This window comes from Homo sapiens, chromosome 21 (assembly GCF_000001405.40).
Source record: "Homo sapiens chromosome 21, GRCh38.p14 Primary Assembly".
Classification (NCBI taxonomy): domain Eukaryota; kingdom Metazoa; phylum Chordata; class Mammalia; order Primates; family Hominidae; genus Homo; species Homo sapiens.
Window position 1 is genome coordinate 29,163,463 of NC_000021.9, and position 14,132 is coordinate 29,177,594.

The following is a 14,132-nucleotide window of genomic DNA, read 5'->3' on the forward strand; positions in this document are numbered from 1 at the left end:
TAACTAGTTTCCCTGCCTAGGGTTTCTTGTTGCTAGAAAATGACAGCCAGTTCTTGGCATAGATTTCAAGACCTCCCTGGGGATGCCTTGGAACCTCTGTAGAACTTCCAATCTCATCCCTCAACTTCAGCTACATTGGCCTCCTCACTTCTCCCGGGGCAGGAGGTGGGTCCTCCAGTCACTGAGCCCCTGTTCACACCAAGCTCTTGGCCTAACAGGCCCCTTTCTTCCTTTTTTTTTTTTTTTTTTTTGAGACAAAGTCTTGCCCTGTCACCCAGGCTGGAGTGCAGTGATGCAATCATAGCTCACTGCAGCCTCAACCCCCTGAGCTCAAGCAACTCTCCCACCTCAGCCTCTTGAATAGCTGGGACGACAGGTGCATGCCAGCATGCCCAGTTAATTAAAAAAATTTTTTTAAAGAGATGGCATCTTGCTATGTTGCCCAGGCTGGTCTCAAACTCCTGACCTACAGCAATCCTTCCACGTCAGCCGCCCAAAGTGCTGGTATTACAGAGTCAATATCAGCAATAAAGGACTGCTAGGAGGAAAATTGCTCGAACTCGGGAGGTGGAGGTTGCAGTGAGCCTAGATCACACCATTGCACTCCAGCCCGGGTGACAGTGCGAGACTCCATTTAAAAAAAAAAAACAAACTGCTAGGATACATTGTTAAATTGGGAAATATGGTAATATCTTATATTTATAAATACATGAGCTTGGTTTTCCAAGGATTGTTAATGATCGTTATTTTCATTAAGACTTTACTGAAGTGGAAATTCATTTTGCAACATGTCTTTTCCCAAACAGTCTTTATTTTCAAGCAAGATATATTGGGCCAAGTGAATTTGACCCAAGTAGTTAGCTCTCCATTTTTTGATGATTCTGTTGAGAATTTCTTTCTCATTATTTCATAAAGTGTAGCTGATTATGTTGCCTCTAGCTTGGCTGGCGTAAGCTAGATGCAAAGAGAGACGCTAACTAAGGTATTTTAAAAGACAGTTTTTCTTTATTGGAGTCGTTCAGACACTGCTTAAGGTTTGAACTCCAAACTGAACTTCTCTCTCATCTCCAGAGGAGGTCTCCCTGGATCAAGTTTGGGAGAATTTGTCTTAAGAGGCGTGATGAGAAGAGTTGCTGAAACTGTTATTTTAAATCATATCTGTTGGATGGAGAAAGAGAGTCAAACATTTTCTAGGATTATAAACTCAGCATTGGCTGAATCCAATTTAAAGAATCGCTTCTGGCTTATGACCAATGATGTACGAGAGGTTTGTTATATTTTTACTGATTTTTTTTTTCTTCTCCGTGTGAAAAAGGTGGGAAGGACTTTCTTGAAAGCTTTGAAAAATTACCAAGAATTCTGATATCTTTAAAGAACTCCTGCTATCATTTTTATCTAATTCTTTCTAGGCCTTTTGCATGTGAATAGACATTTTAATATAATTGCATATACAGTAACGTGGAATGTATAACATGATTTTTTCCGTAAATATTATAAGCATTTTTCTACAACATACCTAGCTTTTTGTGTATGTAATATGAAAGTCATTGAAATGAGATATAGACATTTTATGGCTTTTGAAATCTATCACCAAATTTAGAAAAAATAAAATAAAAAAATGAAATCTATTACCAAATTGTTTGACAGAAATTTTTAAAAGTATATTATTAAGCTACAATCAACTGTAAAGTTTGCTTTGTTCCAGATAAAGCATTTTATCTCATCCAGTAGAGAAACCACTTATTTATTTTTTTGGTATGAAATATTGTATTGGGTACTTTGGTGTTTAGAAGATTAACTGAAATGTCAGAAAAATAGACAGACTCTTAGAAAAGTCAGATTGAAGAATGTTTTATTTATTCATTTTAATTTTTATTTTTTAATTTCAATATGTTTTTGGGGCACAGGTGGTGCTTGGTTACATGAATAAGTTCTTTAGTGATGATTTCTGAGATTTTGGTACACCTGTCACCCAAGCAGGGTACACTGTACACAATGTATATTCTTTTATTCCTCACTCCTCTCCCACCCTTTCCCGAGTCCCCAAAGTCCATTGTATTATCCTTATGTCTTTGCATCCTCATGTTATATATATTTTTATAAACAATTTTATTTTATTTTATTTTTCTGAGACAGTCTTGCTCAGTCTCCCAGGCTGCAGTGCAGCAGTGCGATCTTGGCTCACTGCAACCTCTGCCTCCCAGGTTCAAGCGATCCTCCTACCTCAGCTCCCCGAGTAGCTGGGATTACAGGTGTGTGCCACCACTCTGGGCTAATTGTTATATTTTTAGTAGAGTCAGGGTTTCACCATGTTGGCCAGGCTGGTCTCAAACTCCTGGCCTCAAGTGATCGGGCTGCTAAAGTGCTGGGATTACAGGCATGAGCCATGCGCCTGGCCAGTTTTATTTGTTTTTAATTGACATGTAGTAATTGTACTTAGTTATGGGGTCTAGTGTAATGTTTTCATACATGGACACATTGTGTAATGATCAAATCAGTGTAATTAGCGTATTCATCTCCTCAAACATTTGTCATATCTTTGTGGTGAGAACATTCAAAATCCTCTCTTTTAGCTATTTTGAAGTGTACATCATTGTTAACTACAGTCACCCTACTGTGCAGGAGAACACCAGAAGTTATTCCTCCTGTCTAACTGTAACTATGTACTCACTGAATAACCCCTCCCCATACCCCTCTTCCTACCACCCTCCCCAACCTCTGGTAATCACTATTCTACTCTCTACATCAATGAGATCAACTTTTTTAGATTCCACATAGGAGCGTGATTGTGTGGTCTTTGTCCTTCTGTGCCTCACTTATTTCATTTAACATCATGTCCTCCAGGTTCATCCATGTTGTTGCAAATGACAGGATTTCATTTTTTAAAATGGCTGAGTAGTATTCCATTGTATAGATATATCACATTAAAAAATCTATTCTTCTGCTGATGGACACTTGGACACGTAGGTTGATCCTATACCCTGGCTATTGCAATTCGGTGGTTTTCAGTATATTCACAGAGTTGTGCAACCATCACCAACTTCACATTTCCTTCACCCCAGAAATAAATCTGGCACTCTTTGGCAGTTACGCCCCACTGACCCTTGACTTCTGGACTTTGGCAACCAATAATCTACTTTCTGTCTCTATGGATTTGCTTATTTTGGACATTTCATACAAATGGAATCATATAATATGTAATCTTTTGTGATTGGCTTTTTTCACTTAGTATAATGTTTTTAAGGTTCATCCACTTTGTATCATGCATCAGTACTTCATTCTTTTTATTGCTGAATAATATTCCATTGTATGAATATATAATATTTTATCCTTTCATAGGCTAATGGACATTTAATCGGTTGTTTGCACTTCTTGGCTATTGTGAATAACGCTGCTATAAACATTTGTGTACAATTTTTGAGGTAGACCTATGTTTTCAATTCTCTTGAGTAGGTTCCTAGCAGTAGAATTGTTGGCTCATATTATAACTCAATGTGTAACCTTTTGAGGAACTGCCAGATTGTTTTCAAACGGGTTGACATTTTATATTCTTGCCAGCAGTGTATCAAGGTTCCAATTTTTCCACATCTTTGCCAACACTTCTTGTGCCTTTTAGATTCTAGCCATCTGTAGTGGGTGTGAAACAATATGTCATTGTGGTTTTGATTTACAGTTCTCTGATGGCTAATGATGTTACACAGGTTCTCCTGTGCTTCATTGGCCATTTCTATCTTTTCTTGGAGAAATATCTCAAAGATCTTTTGCCCATTTTTTAATTTGGTTGTCTTTTTGTTTCTGAGGTGAAAAATGTTACATAATTTTAGTGTGTTCAGGCAAAACATCAGAAAGGGGTTTTCATATGAGGCTATCAAAATCAATGTGAGACTTATATTGTCATGTCTTTTTAAAATGTATAAAATGATGATTGGGGAGTAACATCTCATCTAGGGGAACATATCAGGATGGGGCAAAAGGGTGCATATGTAATTTGCAAAGGCATAAATTAAAATTAGTGCAATTTTGATTTGTTTTTAGTCATATTTATTCTGAGATTTCTAATAACAGGAGATTTTAAGTTTTTTTTTTTATGTTTAACCAGAAGGATTTATTTCTTTAGGATATTCCCAAAGGGAGAGGCTTTTAAACTGTGTTCTGAGGAGTCTCTCACAGATTCGGGAGGGAGAGGGTGTCAGGCAGGGGACTGTACCAAGATCAACCAGAGAAGGACCAATTTTTTTTTTTTTTTTTTTTTTTTGAGATAGAGTCTTGCTCTGTCACCCAGGCTGGAATGCAGTGGCGCGATCTCGGCTCACTGCAAGCTCCATCTCCCCGGTTCATGCCATTCTCCTGCTTCAGCCTCCCACGTAGCTGGGACTACAGGCGCCCGCCACCATACCCAGCTAATTTTTTGTATTTTTAGTAGAGATGGGGTTTCGCCATGTTAGCCAGGATGGTCTTGATCTCCTGACCTCGTGGTCCGCCCACCTGGCCTCCCAAAGTGCTGGGATTACAGTTGTGAACCACCACGCCCGGCAGAGAAGGACCAATTTTATCCCTTTTATTTGCATCCCTTCAGGGTATGACTTTCTTTGCAAAAGGATTCCACAGCAGGGTAACACTGAAAACCAAACCTCACTTTTATATACCTAAGATATTTTTCTTAAATATTTACTCAGCCTCCAGAAATTACATTTTCATTAACATAAATACACAGTAAATGGAGACATTTCTCCACAAGTGTTTGCAGGATATATAGTAATGTGGGGAAAAGTTCTATCTTCTCTTTCCTATGATGTCTGATATGAGTAAGATGCCTTCTGGGTAAGATATGAGATTTGAGTTCATTTTCCAGCTGTGGAGATGCACTTCCCAAGACTGACTTGGCTAGCAAGAATAGAAGACGGTGCCTGGCTTGTAACAGACTTTCAATAAATACTTGCTGAGCAAATGAGTAGAAGAGCAAAGGCCTGCCTCAGTTCTTTACTTTGTTTATGGAGACAGAGATGTAGCCAAAGGTATTCTTTCATTTTAGTACTTAGGTTTTTGTGAAATTTCAGTATCCCAGATGCCATCAGGCTGTGAGTTTAAGCTGTTAATGCCCCAATCACAATGATTTGGGTATTTTACACCACATAATTAGGTGCAGCCCAGTCATTTAATGGGAATTTCATTCCCAAGTATTTCTACACCTAATTGTCTGCCCGAAACTATATTAAATTTATGCCTAGTGTTCCATTATTGGAACACTAAATGTGGGAGTTATTTATATCCTACTGCTCAAGGTCATTGCCAAGATCTGATTTTTCAAATTCAAAAAATTGCAACCTCAGGCATTAAGTGGGTTAAAAGGGACAGCATATTTACTCTTCTCAGTGAGAGCTCTTTTAAGTAGGTTTCCCTTGCTGAGGAAAGAGGCTCAAATCCAATCTCTGGGGTAGCAGAGTGAAGAAACCTTTTGCTGTTCACTTTCTTCCTGTCCCAGGATTAATTCTTGTCAGGTTGATTGATAGTGGGAATCTCCACTTCCTTTAGGTGGTGGTTCTTAATCAGGAAATTCTCCACACCTGCCCCACCCTACATTGGCAATACTTAAGAGACATTTTTGGTTGGTGAGTGTAGGTTTGCTATTGACATCTAGTGAGTGAGGCCAAGGTTGCTGCTAGACTTCCTACAACGCCAATGTATAGACAGTGCCCAACGACAAAGAATTGCCTGGCCCACAATGTCAGTTGTACCAAGGATGAGAAATCCTGCTTTGGAGCAAGTCTGACTTCCTCCTGCACGGGTGCAGTGTTGCCCTTTGCTTCCCAATAGATATTAGTACATTTCTTCATGCATTAAGCATTTGTACAGCTTCAACAACATAGTCTAGACTGAGCATTGGAAATCTCAGTTCAGTATCATTTATTATTCCTCCACCTGGATAAAATGAAGGTAGACTTTGACATCCTTTCTGTCATCTTGAGGCATTGACTCCTTCTGTCCTGCGTATGAATGCTTTTACTCAGACATAAGTCTCTCAAGATCCACCAACAATACAGTCTAAATCCCTATTTAAAAGTAAAATTCTCCCTATGATAAAGGTATTTTATTATATTATTTCCCCAAATTCTTTAGCTCACTGGGGCCAAACTGTCTAGAATTTTGCCTTTCCCAAATAAAAGTCCCTAGTTAACTTTGAAAGGGCCAAGATCCCTTGTAGTGGTCTCCTCAGCACAGAGAAATATTTATTCCAGTGATGGATCCATGTCTCAAACTCCTGCAATGTAAAGAATCTCCTTAATTTTGGAATTAATTTCCATAAAGTTTGAAAGTTTTCTTAACCAATTGACTTGGACTTTCCCTTCCCCTATTTGTTTAGTAACTAAAAACCTTTCCAGGCATGTGGCTTAGGATGGAGGCAACAGATGAGCTATGGTGGACTCCAAAGTTATGACCTTTTAGGCTATTGAATGGCGTCATGTGGAAAGCTATGTTACAGATTCATGACTGCAGAAATAAGATCTCTCTAACTGTGGTCTTCTACCCCCATATTACATTACACTGAAGGAAACGATACAAATAGAACCAATAAATCAAAGGCAGAACCACATTCTAGCCTATAATACATATTGATTTGTTCTTCAGATCATCTATTTATAAGATTGTTTTTGTAGCTTGATGTGCCAAGGTTTAATTATGAATTGCTAATGGATGAGCATAAATATGTCTATATAAATAGGTCCTGGACAGGAAACAATAGACATTTTGACAGTTTTCATTGGATGTCTGTATAATTACTTATCAAATACATGACACTAATTTAGAAACATATCCGCTGAGTCTTCTGGGTTCCAGTAAAGAAGAAATTATTATTGACTTTCTCCAATGCAAGATCAGACTAGATAATTTAGACTATTCTTTCAAATTGTAAAAATCTATGATTTTGTGATTTTTTATCTCTGACAATCAAAATTAATGACAGATAGCTTCAGGAGTTTTACATGAGGTTAGATATGGAGCCAGGGAAATAGCCATTGTTATCCCCATTACCACCACCTCCCAGACTGTGATTTGAAAGTAAAGTCCACCTAAATCATTTATATGACACAAGTAATTTGAAGAGAAAAATAGAACAGGAATAGATGATCTGTTTGATGCATAGGGGATTTAAAGCATGTCTCTCTCTCTTTCTCTTTTTTTTTTCTTTTTTTTTGGAATGGAGTCTCACTCTGTCGCCCAGGCAGGAGTGCAGTGATGTGATCTCGGCTCACTGCAGCTCCACCTCCCAGGTTCCAGCGATTCTCCTGCCTCAGCCTCCCGAGTAGCTGGGATTACAGGCACACACCACCATGCCTCGCTAATTTTTGTATTTTCGGTAGATACAGGGTTTCACCATGTTGGCCAGGCTGGTCTCAAACTCCTGACCTCAAGTGATCTGCCCGCCTCGGCCTCTCAAAGTGCTGGAATTACAGGTGTGAGCCTCTGTGCCTGCCTCTTTTTTTTTTTTTTTTAATTTATATAGGCTTTACTCATTAATGTTTAAAAATAATTACATGAGGAATTTTACTAATTAATATTTAATTATTGACATTTACTACCTAAGCTATGCTTAGGGACACAAAACTCTAAACATTTAATCAGAAGATAGGCTTGATTTCTGGCTCACTCTTATTAGCTGTGTGACTTTTTCCTTTAAATGGAGCACTTTCAGTTTCTATTTCCTCATTTTTAAAACATAAATTACTGTATCTCTGAGCTACCTTTTTCTTCAATTATTTATTCAGTAAGTATTTATTGTGAGCCTATTCTATTCTAAACAGCATGGAAGATCCAAAAATCAGTAACAGCCCAAAGGAACTTTGTTTATATGCGTATCAGTGATGTACCTTATCTTCCAGTTTTGGACACTTTCTAACATCTGGTTTTGCTCAGTGGACACCAAAGTGGGTATCCAAGGCAGGCCATTGGGTGCAGGAAGAAAATACTAGAACTTTTATCCTTATTTACTCCTTGTCTTTTTTTCAGGATAACTGCATTTTGATAGTTTCAAACTTAGAGAAAAATTGCAAAAGTAGTATAGAGAACTCCCAACCGGGCGTGGTGGTTCACGCCTGTAATCCCAGCACTTTGGGAGGCTGAGGCGGGAGGATCACCTGAGGTCAGGACCAGCTTAGTCAACATGGTGAAACCCCATCTCTACTAAAAATACAAAAATTAGCCAAGTGTGGCGCACACACCTGTAGTCCCAGCTACTCGCGAGGCTGAGGCAGGAGAATCGCTTGATCCCAGGAGGCAGAGGTTGAAGTGAGCCGACATCACGCCACCGCACTCCAGTCTGGGTGACAGAGTGAGACTCCATCTCAAAAAAAAAAAAAAAAAAAAAAACAACACTCCCATATATCCTTTACTGGATTCACCAGTTACTAAACTTTCCCCAGTTGTGCCTTATTCTTCCTCCCACGACAGTACTGGGGTTTTCTTTCTCTCATACACACACATATACATATATACATATGTGTATGTATATATGTGTGTAAATACATGTATGTATACGTATGCATATATGTGTGTCATCATGCTCCACATTGCCCTAAACACTTCAGTAAGTATAGTCTAAAACAATAACATTCTCTCATTTAACCATGGTATAATAATTAAAATCAAGAAATTTAGCATTGATATATTATTATTATTTAATTCACAGTCCATATTCAAATTGCATCAATTTCCCAATAATGTTCTTCAAAACTATTTTTTTTTCAGTTCAGAATAGCACATTGCCTGTGTTGTCATTTTCTTTTTTTTTTTTTTTTTTTTGGTTTCTTTAAATACGGAGGAGTTCTTAACATTTTTAAAGATACAGGTTAACAATTTTGTAGAATTTCCCTGAATTTGATTTGGTCTGTATGATTAGATATAGAGTGTACATTTTTGGCAGGAATACCACAGAAATGATGTGTGTTTCACAGTGCATGTGATGTCTATTTATCTCATGACTAGCAGTGTCAACTTTGGTCATTTGGTGAAAGTGGCCTTCCAGTTTTCATCACACATTTCCCTTTTCAATTAAGTAATTTGTAGGAGACACTGAGGTTATGTAAATATTTTGTTCCTTATCAGACTTTCACCCCCCAGGTTTAGCATCCGGTCTTATCCTGTTACATATCCATATTTGGGTATGCTTTATAATGTATGTAATATATTGGCAGGTATATAATTTATGAATGAATATGCAGACATACGTAGAAGTAGTTTGGGTTTGTGTTCAATTTTTTTTAACCAATAGTATTATATAATAAAACATGTTTGGAGACCTAATTGAATGAGATGGTCAGGCTGTTTTCTAGCTCTGGATTATTGAAACATTACAGGTTGTGTTTTGATGAGCAACCCCCCCCTCCCCCCGCCCCTTGTTCCCAGTGGCCACAGGCTTATTTCCAATATAAACTTGAATATTATTGCTTTTCAGGAATATATGTATTTTCCTTTCTTCTTTTCATATTATGTAGTGTCAGATCAGTATCTGATCAGTGGAAGAAGGAAGAGGAGAGGCTTTTAGAAATGTAGCCAACTGTAGTGATGAAAGAATGTAAGGAAGATAGTATTTGCATGTATTTTATGCTAAAGCAATGTTATTACTACTTTAAAACAGGGGTTCAAAACTGTTTCCTAGGAACACAACTGTAAAACATCAGGAGCTTTTCAGGGTAGGGGGAACCTAGGAGGAGAAGCCTTGGGACTGAGACTGGTGGCAGTGTGTCCTAAGCTTTGGTCATTTGGGTACAACTTCTGTGAATGATCATGAAGTAAGTTCCAGATACTTCCACATCTACATTATTATTGACTCAAACTTTTTTTGTAAGTCATCTTTATGTAGATCTTCTTTTAATTAGCCTCCTTTTAGGGCACAAGATCTTTGAAATCATATGTTAGATGCGTTGGTTTATATTTAAAAATACACATTAATTTAATTCAAAAGTCTAATGAAGCTTTCAGTACAACCTACAATCATCTAATGCTAACACCAGCAGTACAAAGCCTTCCCTTTGGAAAGCTCATCTAGAAAACTATGTATCTGAAGGTCATTTACCAACTGTTTTTTGCCCTACAGAGGAGGAAGAAATGTAAGGCAAAGGAGAATTCAGTTAGATTTTGTCTAGGTTAGGATTACCTGACCTCCATGATGGAGACAGACCTGGTATCCTTTGGGTTATCATGTTTATTAAATCTACACATGGACTGAAGATCTTTAGCTCATTATTTCTTTCCTTTTTTGAGACAGGATCTCACTCTTTTGCCCAGGCTGGAGTGCAGTGGCACAATCATAGCTCACTGCAGCCTCAACCTCCCACGCTCAAGTGATCCTCCTGCCACAGCCTCCCGAGTAGCTGGAACTGCAGTTGTCAGCCATCATACCCAGCTAATTTCCCAATTTTTTGTAGAGATGTTGTCTCGCTATGTTGCCGAGGATGGTCTCAAACTCCTGGACTCAAGAGATATTTGCCTAGGTATCCCAAAATGCTGGGATTACAGACATGAACCACTGTGCCCAACCTTTAGCTCCTTATAATGTGTATTTAAATCAATGAATTATTTACAACTATTAACTAAGAACTAAGTTTCTTTAAAGTGTTTTCATTACAATTTTCCTACAGTAGCTTCAGCCTGCTTCCTCAATTCTGGAGTCACGTCAGCATCAAATGTGGACACAGTTTTGTTAATTTGGGCTGCAATATATATGTAAGGATTAGGGAAAGACATAGGAGGTAATATCTACAAGGACAGAGTTGGGATTCTGTAGTTCAAAGAAGTCTATTGGAGATTTGTTCAACTCAGATGTAGGAAACAAAGGAAGATAACAACTGAATTTGGGGGACAAAGACTCAGCCAAGAGAAAACTATAGTTGTCCTCTCTACAAGACAATAGGCAGCATCTTAAATTATGAAAAATTTTACACAGATATTTTTCTAAATTATTTTTACAATTTTCTGTATTTTTAAAATGATCATGTTTTTGACTACTAAAGAACCTATGGGACTTTTGGTGTATGGTTAGTATTTTGGAAGTGTCTAGTCGAGGTGCTAGAATAAAGGGATATAAAATTTGCAAAGCTGGACAAATAAAAGTCATTGGAGGCAAGTAGAGATGGGAAAAAATTCAGAACAGCAGAATGAATCATTCTACTTCCATCATGCTATTACTGAATAATTTAATTTGCTTGCATTGAATTCTGTGCTTCTTCCTGCCCTTTACCCCGAATCTTCAGGAAGGAGCTCATTGCCAAGTTAGATCAGGCAGAAAAGGAGAAGGTGGATGCTGCTGAGCTGGTTCGGGAATTCGAGGCTCTGACGGAGGAGAATCGGACGTTGAGGTTGGCCCAGTCTCAATGTGTGGAACAACTGGAGAAACTTCGAATACAGTATCAGAAGAGGCAGGGCTCGTCCTAACTTTAAATTTTTCAGTGTGAGCATACGAGGCTGATGACTGCCCTGTGCTGGCCAAAAGATTTTTATTTTAAATGAATAGTGAGTCAGATCTATTGCTTCTCTGTATTACCCACATGACAACTGTCTATAATGAGTTTACTGCTTGCCAGCTTCTAGCTTGAGAGAAGGGATATTTTAAATGAGATCATTAACGTGAAACTATTACTAGTATATGTTTTTGGAGATCAGAATTCTTTTCCAAAGATATATGTTTTTTTCTTTTTTAGGAAGATATGATCATGCTGTACAACAGGGTAGAAAATGATAAAAATAGACTATTGACTGACCCAGCTAAGAATCGTGGGCTGAGCAGAGTTAAACCATGGGACAAACCCATAACATGTTCACCATAGTTTCACGTATGTGTATTTTTAAATTTCATGCCTTTAATATTTCAAATATGCTCAAATTTAAACTGTCAGAAACTTCTGTGCATGTATTTATATTTGCCAGAGTATAAACTTTTATACTCTGATTTTTATCCTTCAATGATTGATTATACTAAGAATAAATGGTCACATATCCTAAAAGCTTCTTCATGAAATTATTAGCAGAAACCATGTTTGTAACCAAAGCACATTTGCCAATGCTAACTGGCTGTTGTAATAATAAACAGATAAGGCTGCATTTGCTTCATGCCATGTGACCTCACAGTAAACATCTCTGCCTTTGCCTGTGTGTGTTCTGGGGGAGGGGGGACATGGAAAAATATTGTTTGGACATTACTTGGGTGAGTGCCCATGAAAACATCAGTGAACTTGTAACTATTGTTTTGTTTTGGATTTAAGGAGATGTTTTAGATCAGTAACAGCTAATAGGAATATGCGAGTAAATTCAGAATTGAAACAATTTCTCCTTGTTCTACCTATCACCACATTTTCTCAAATTGAACTCTTTGTTATATGTCCATTTCTATTCATGTAACTTCTTTTTCATTAAACATGGATCAAAACTGACAGTTTCTAGTTTGCTCCTTTCTTAACCTCCTTTGTGCTAGATGTTGCGATGACCTAGCCCTAGTCGGAAACTGATTCTTAGCTGTATTTGCATGTGCCAAAAAAAAAGAAGTGAAGTCCCCTTTCTTTCTTTTTCTCTTTCTTTCTTTCTTCCTTCTTTTCTTTCTTTCCCTTTCTTTCTTTCTTTCCCTTTCTTTCTTTCTCTCTCTCTCTCTTTCTCTCTCTCTCTCTCTCTTTCTCTCTCTCTCTCTCTCTCCTCTCTCTCTCTCTCTCTTCTTTCTTTCTTTTTTTCTTTCTTTTTTTTTTTTTTTGACAGAGCCTTGCTCCGTCACCCAGGCTGGAGTGCTGTGGCAAGATCTCAGCTCACTGCAACCACTGCCTCCTGAGTTCAAGTGATTCTCCTGCCTCAGCCTCCCAATTAGCTGGGATTACGGGCGCCCATCACCACATCTGGCTAATTTTTGTATTTTTAGTGGAGATGGGATTTCACCATGTTGGCCAGGCTGGTCTGGAACTCCTGACCTTGGGTGATCTGCCCACCTCGGCCTCCCAAAGTGCTGGGACTCCAGGCGTGGGCCACCACACCTGGCCTGAAGTCCCATTTCTTAGAAAGACTGTGATTTCACATATAAACAACTCAGAACTTCAATATTGAATGTGATGCATTTGTATCTTGAGATATTTGCCCCAAAAACAGAAAAAAAGGAATAATTCATTAAAACAAGATGACCTCAGATAAATGAGTGGTTTTCAAATGGGCGTGATTTTGCTCCCAGGGGACCTTTGACAATGTCTGGAAATAGTTTTTGTTGCCACAGCTAGCATGAGGGAGTCCTACTTGTATCTAGAGGACTGAGTCCAGGATACTGCTAACCATCCTGCCCAGAACAGTGCCTGCAACAGAGTTGTCCACCTCAGTGTGACAATAGCACTGAGATTGATGTGCCCTGGGATAGACAAGTCTCTGGACAGTTTGGGCAAATGTGAAGGGAGGCATGGTGCAGGGCCACAGGTTTTTTTGCCACGTGATGCAAAAGAGCATAAGAGCTGGGAGGCCCTTATGCATGTTGATCTTCAATTTCCTCATTTGTGAAATGAAGCTTTTTGATAGACCTCAAAGTTTTCATGTTATGTGAGCCTATTCACCCTTAAGCTGCTTTAACATTTGACTGAAGGTGAAAGTCTCTACTGTTCTGGAAGAACCTTCTGTTTCAGTAACCCACCTCCTCTTTTTAGTATAAGGCTAATAAACACCAGTATAAAGGAGGAATTGTTCACTAAGTTAATACAAATACAAAGTTAGCAGAATGGGAGGAAGAAAGGTAAGTTACTCATCTTTAAATATAAAGATTAGTTTTTGGACACTGCTCATCTGAAGACAGTTGCATATATTTACAAAATTCAAGCAGTCACAGTCCCTTCTAGAAAATGGGAAGCCGGGAAATACGGTTCCAAAATCTCTTTGCTTTACCAGAATGAAAATAATTTAACAAAGTAAAAGTATTTGAACACAACTATTATTACATTAAGGAGTCACTGATGGTTTTCTTATCTTTGCTGGTGTTAGCTTGACTTTTTACTATTTCCAAAAGTTATATATTTGTGACTCAAAAGCAAGCATTTCCCTAGGTGTATATGTTGTAAGAAGATTTTTGTTAATTAGAACATGAAAATATTATCTACTTTTATAGCATGTCAGAGAAATCT

The 14,132-nt window shown here is 38.1% G+C and overlaps 1 protein-coding gene across 16 annotated transcripts in view, besides 1 other annotated feature; it reads left to right on the forward strand.

Annotated features, from left to right (window-relative positions):
• The window catches only part of MAP3K7CL (MAP3K7 C-terminal like), a 98,774-nt gene extending 86,349 nt beyond the window's left edge, over positions 1–12,425 (forward strand). For all 16 annotated transcript variants that reach the window (XM_047440930.1, NM_020152.4, NM_001371374.1 and 13 more), the window contains one exon: positions 11,250–12,425. In XM_047440930.1, coding sequence (XP_047296886.1) covers positions 11,250–11,430 — 181 coding nt within the window. In that variant the 3' untranslated portion in view covers positions 11,431–12,425. The remainder of the gene's footprint in view (positions 1–11,249) is intronic.
• Positions 906–1,200: a silencer, noted in NCBI's record as "tiled region #14833; HepG2 Repressive DNase unmatched - State 12:CtcfO". NCBI's record gives its function as "represses a minimal TATA promoter and a strong SV40 promoter by Sharpr-MPRA in HepG2 cells {active_cell/tissue: HepG2}" and the evidence as "EXISTENCE:reporter gene assay evidence [ECO:0000049][PMID:27701403]".
• Positions 12,426–14,132: the final 1,707 nt, after the last annotated feature.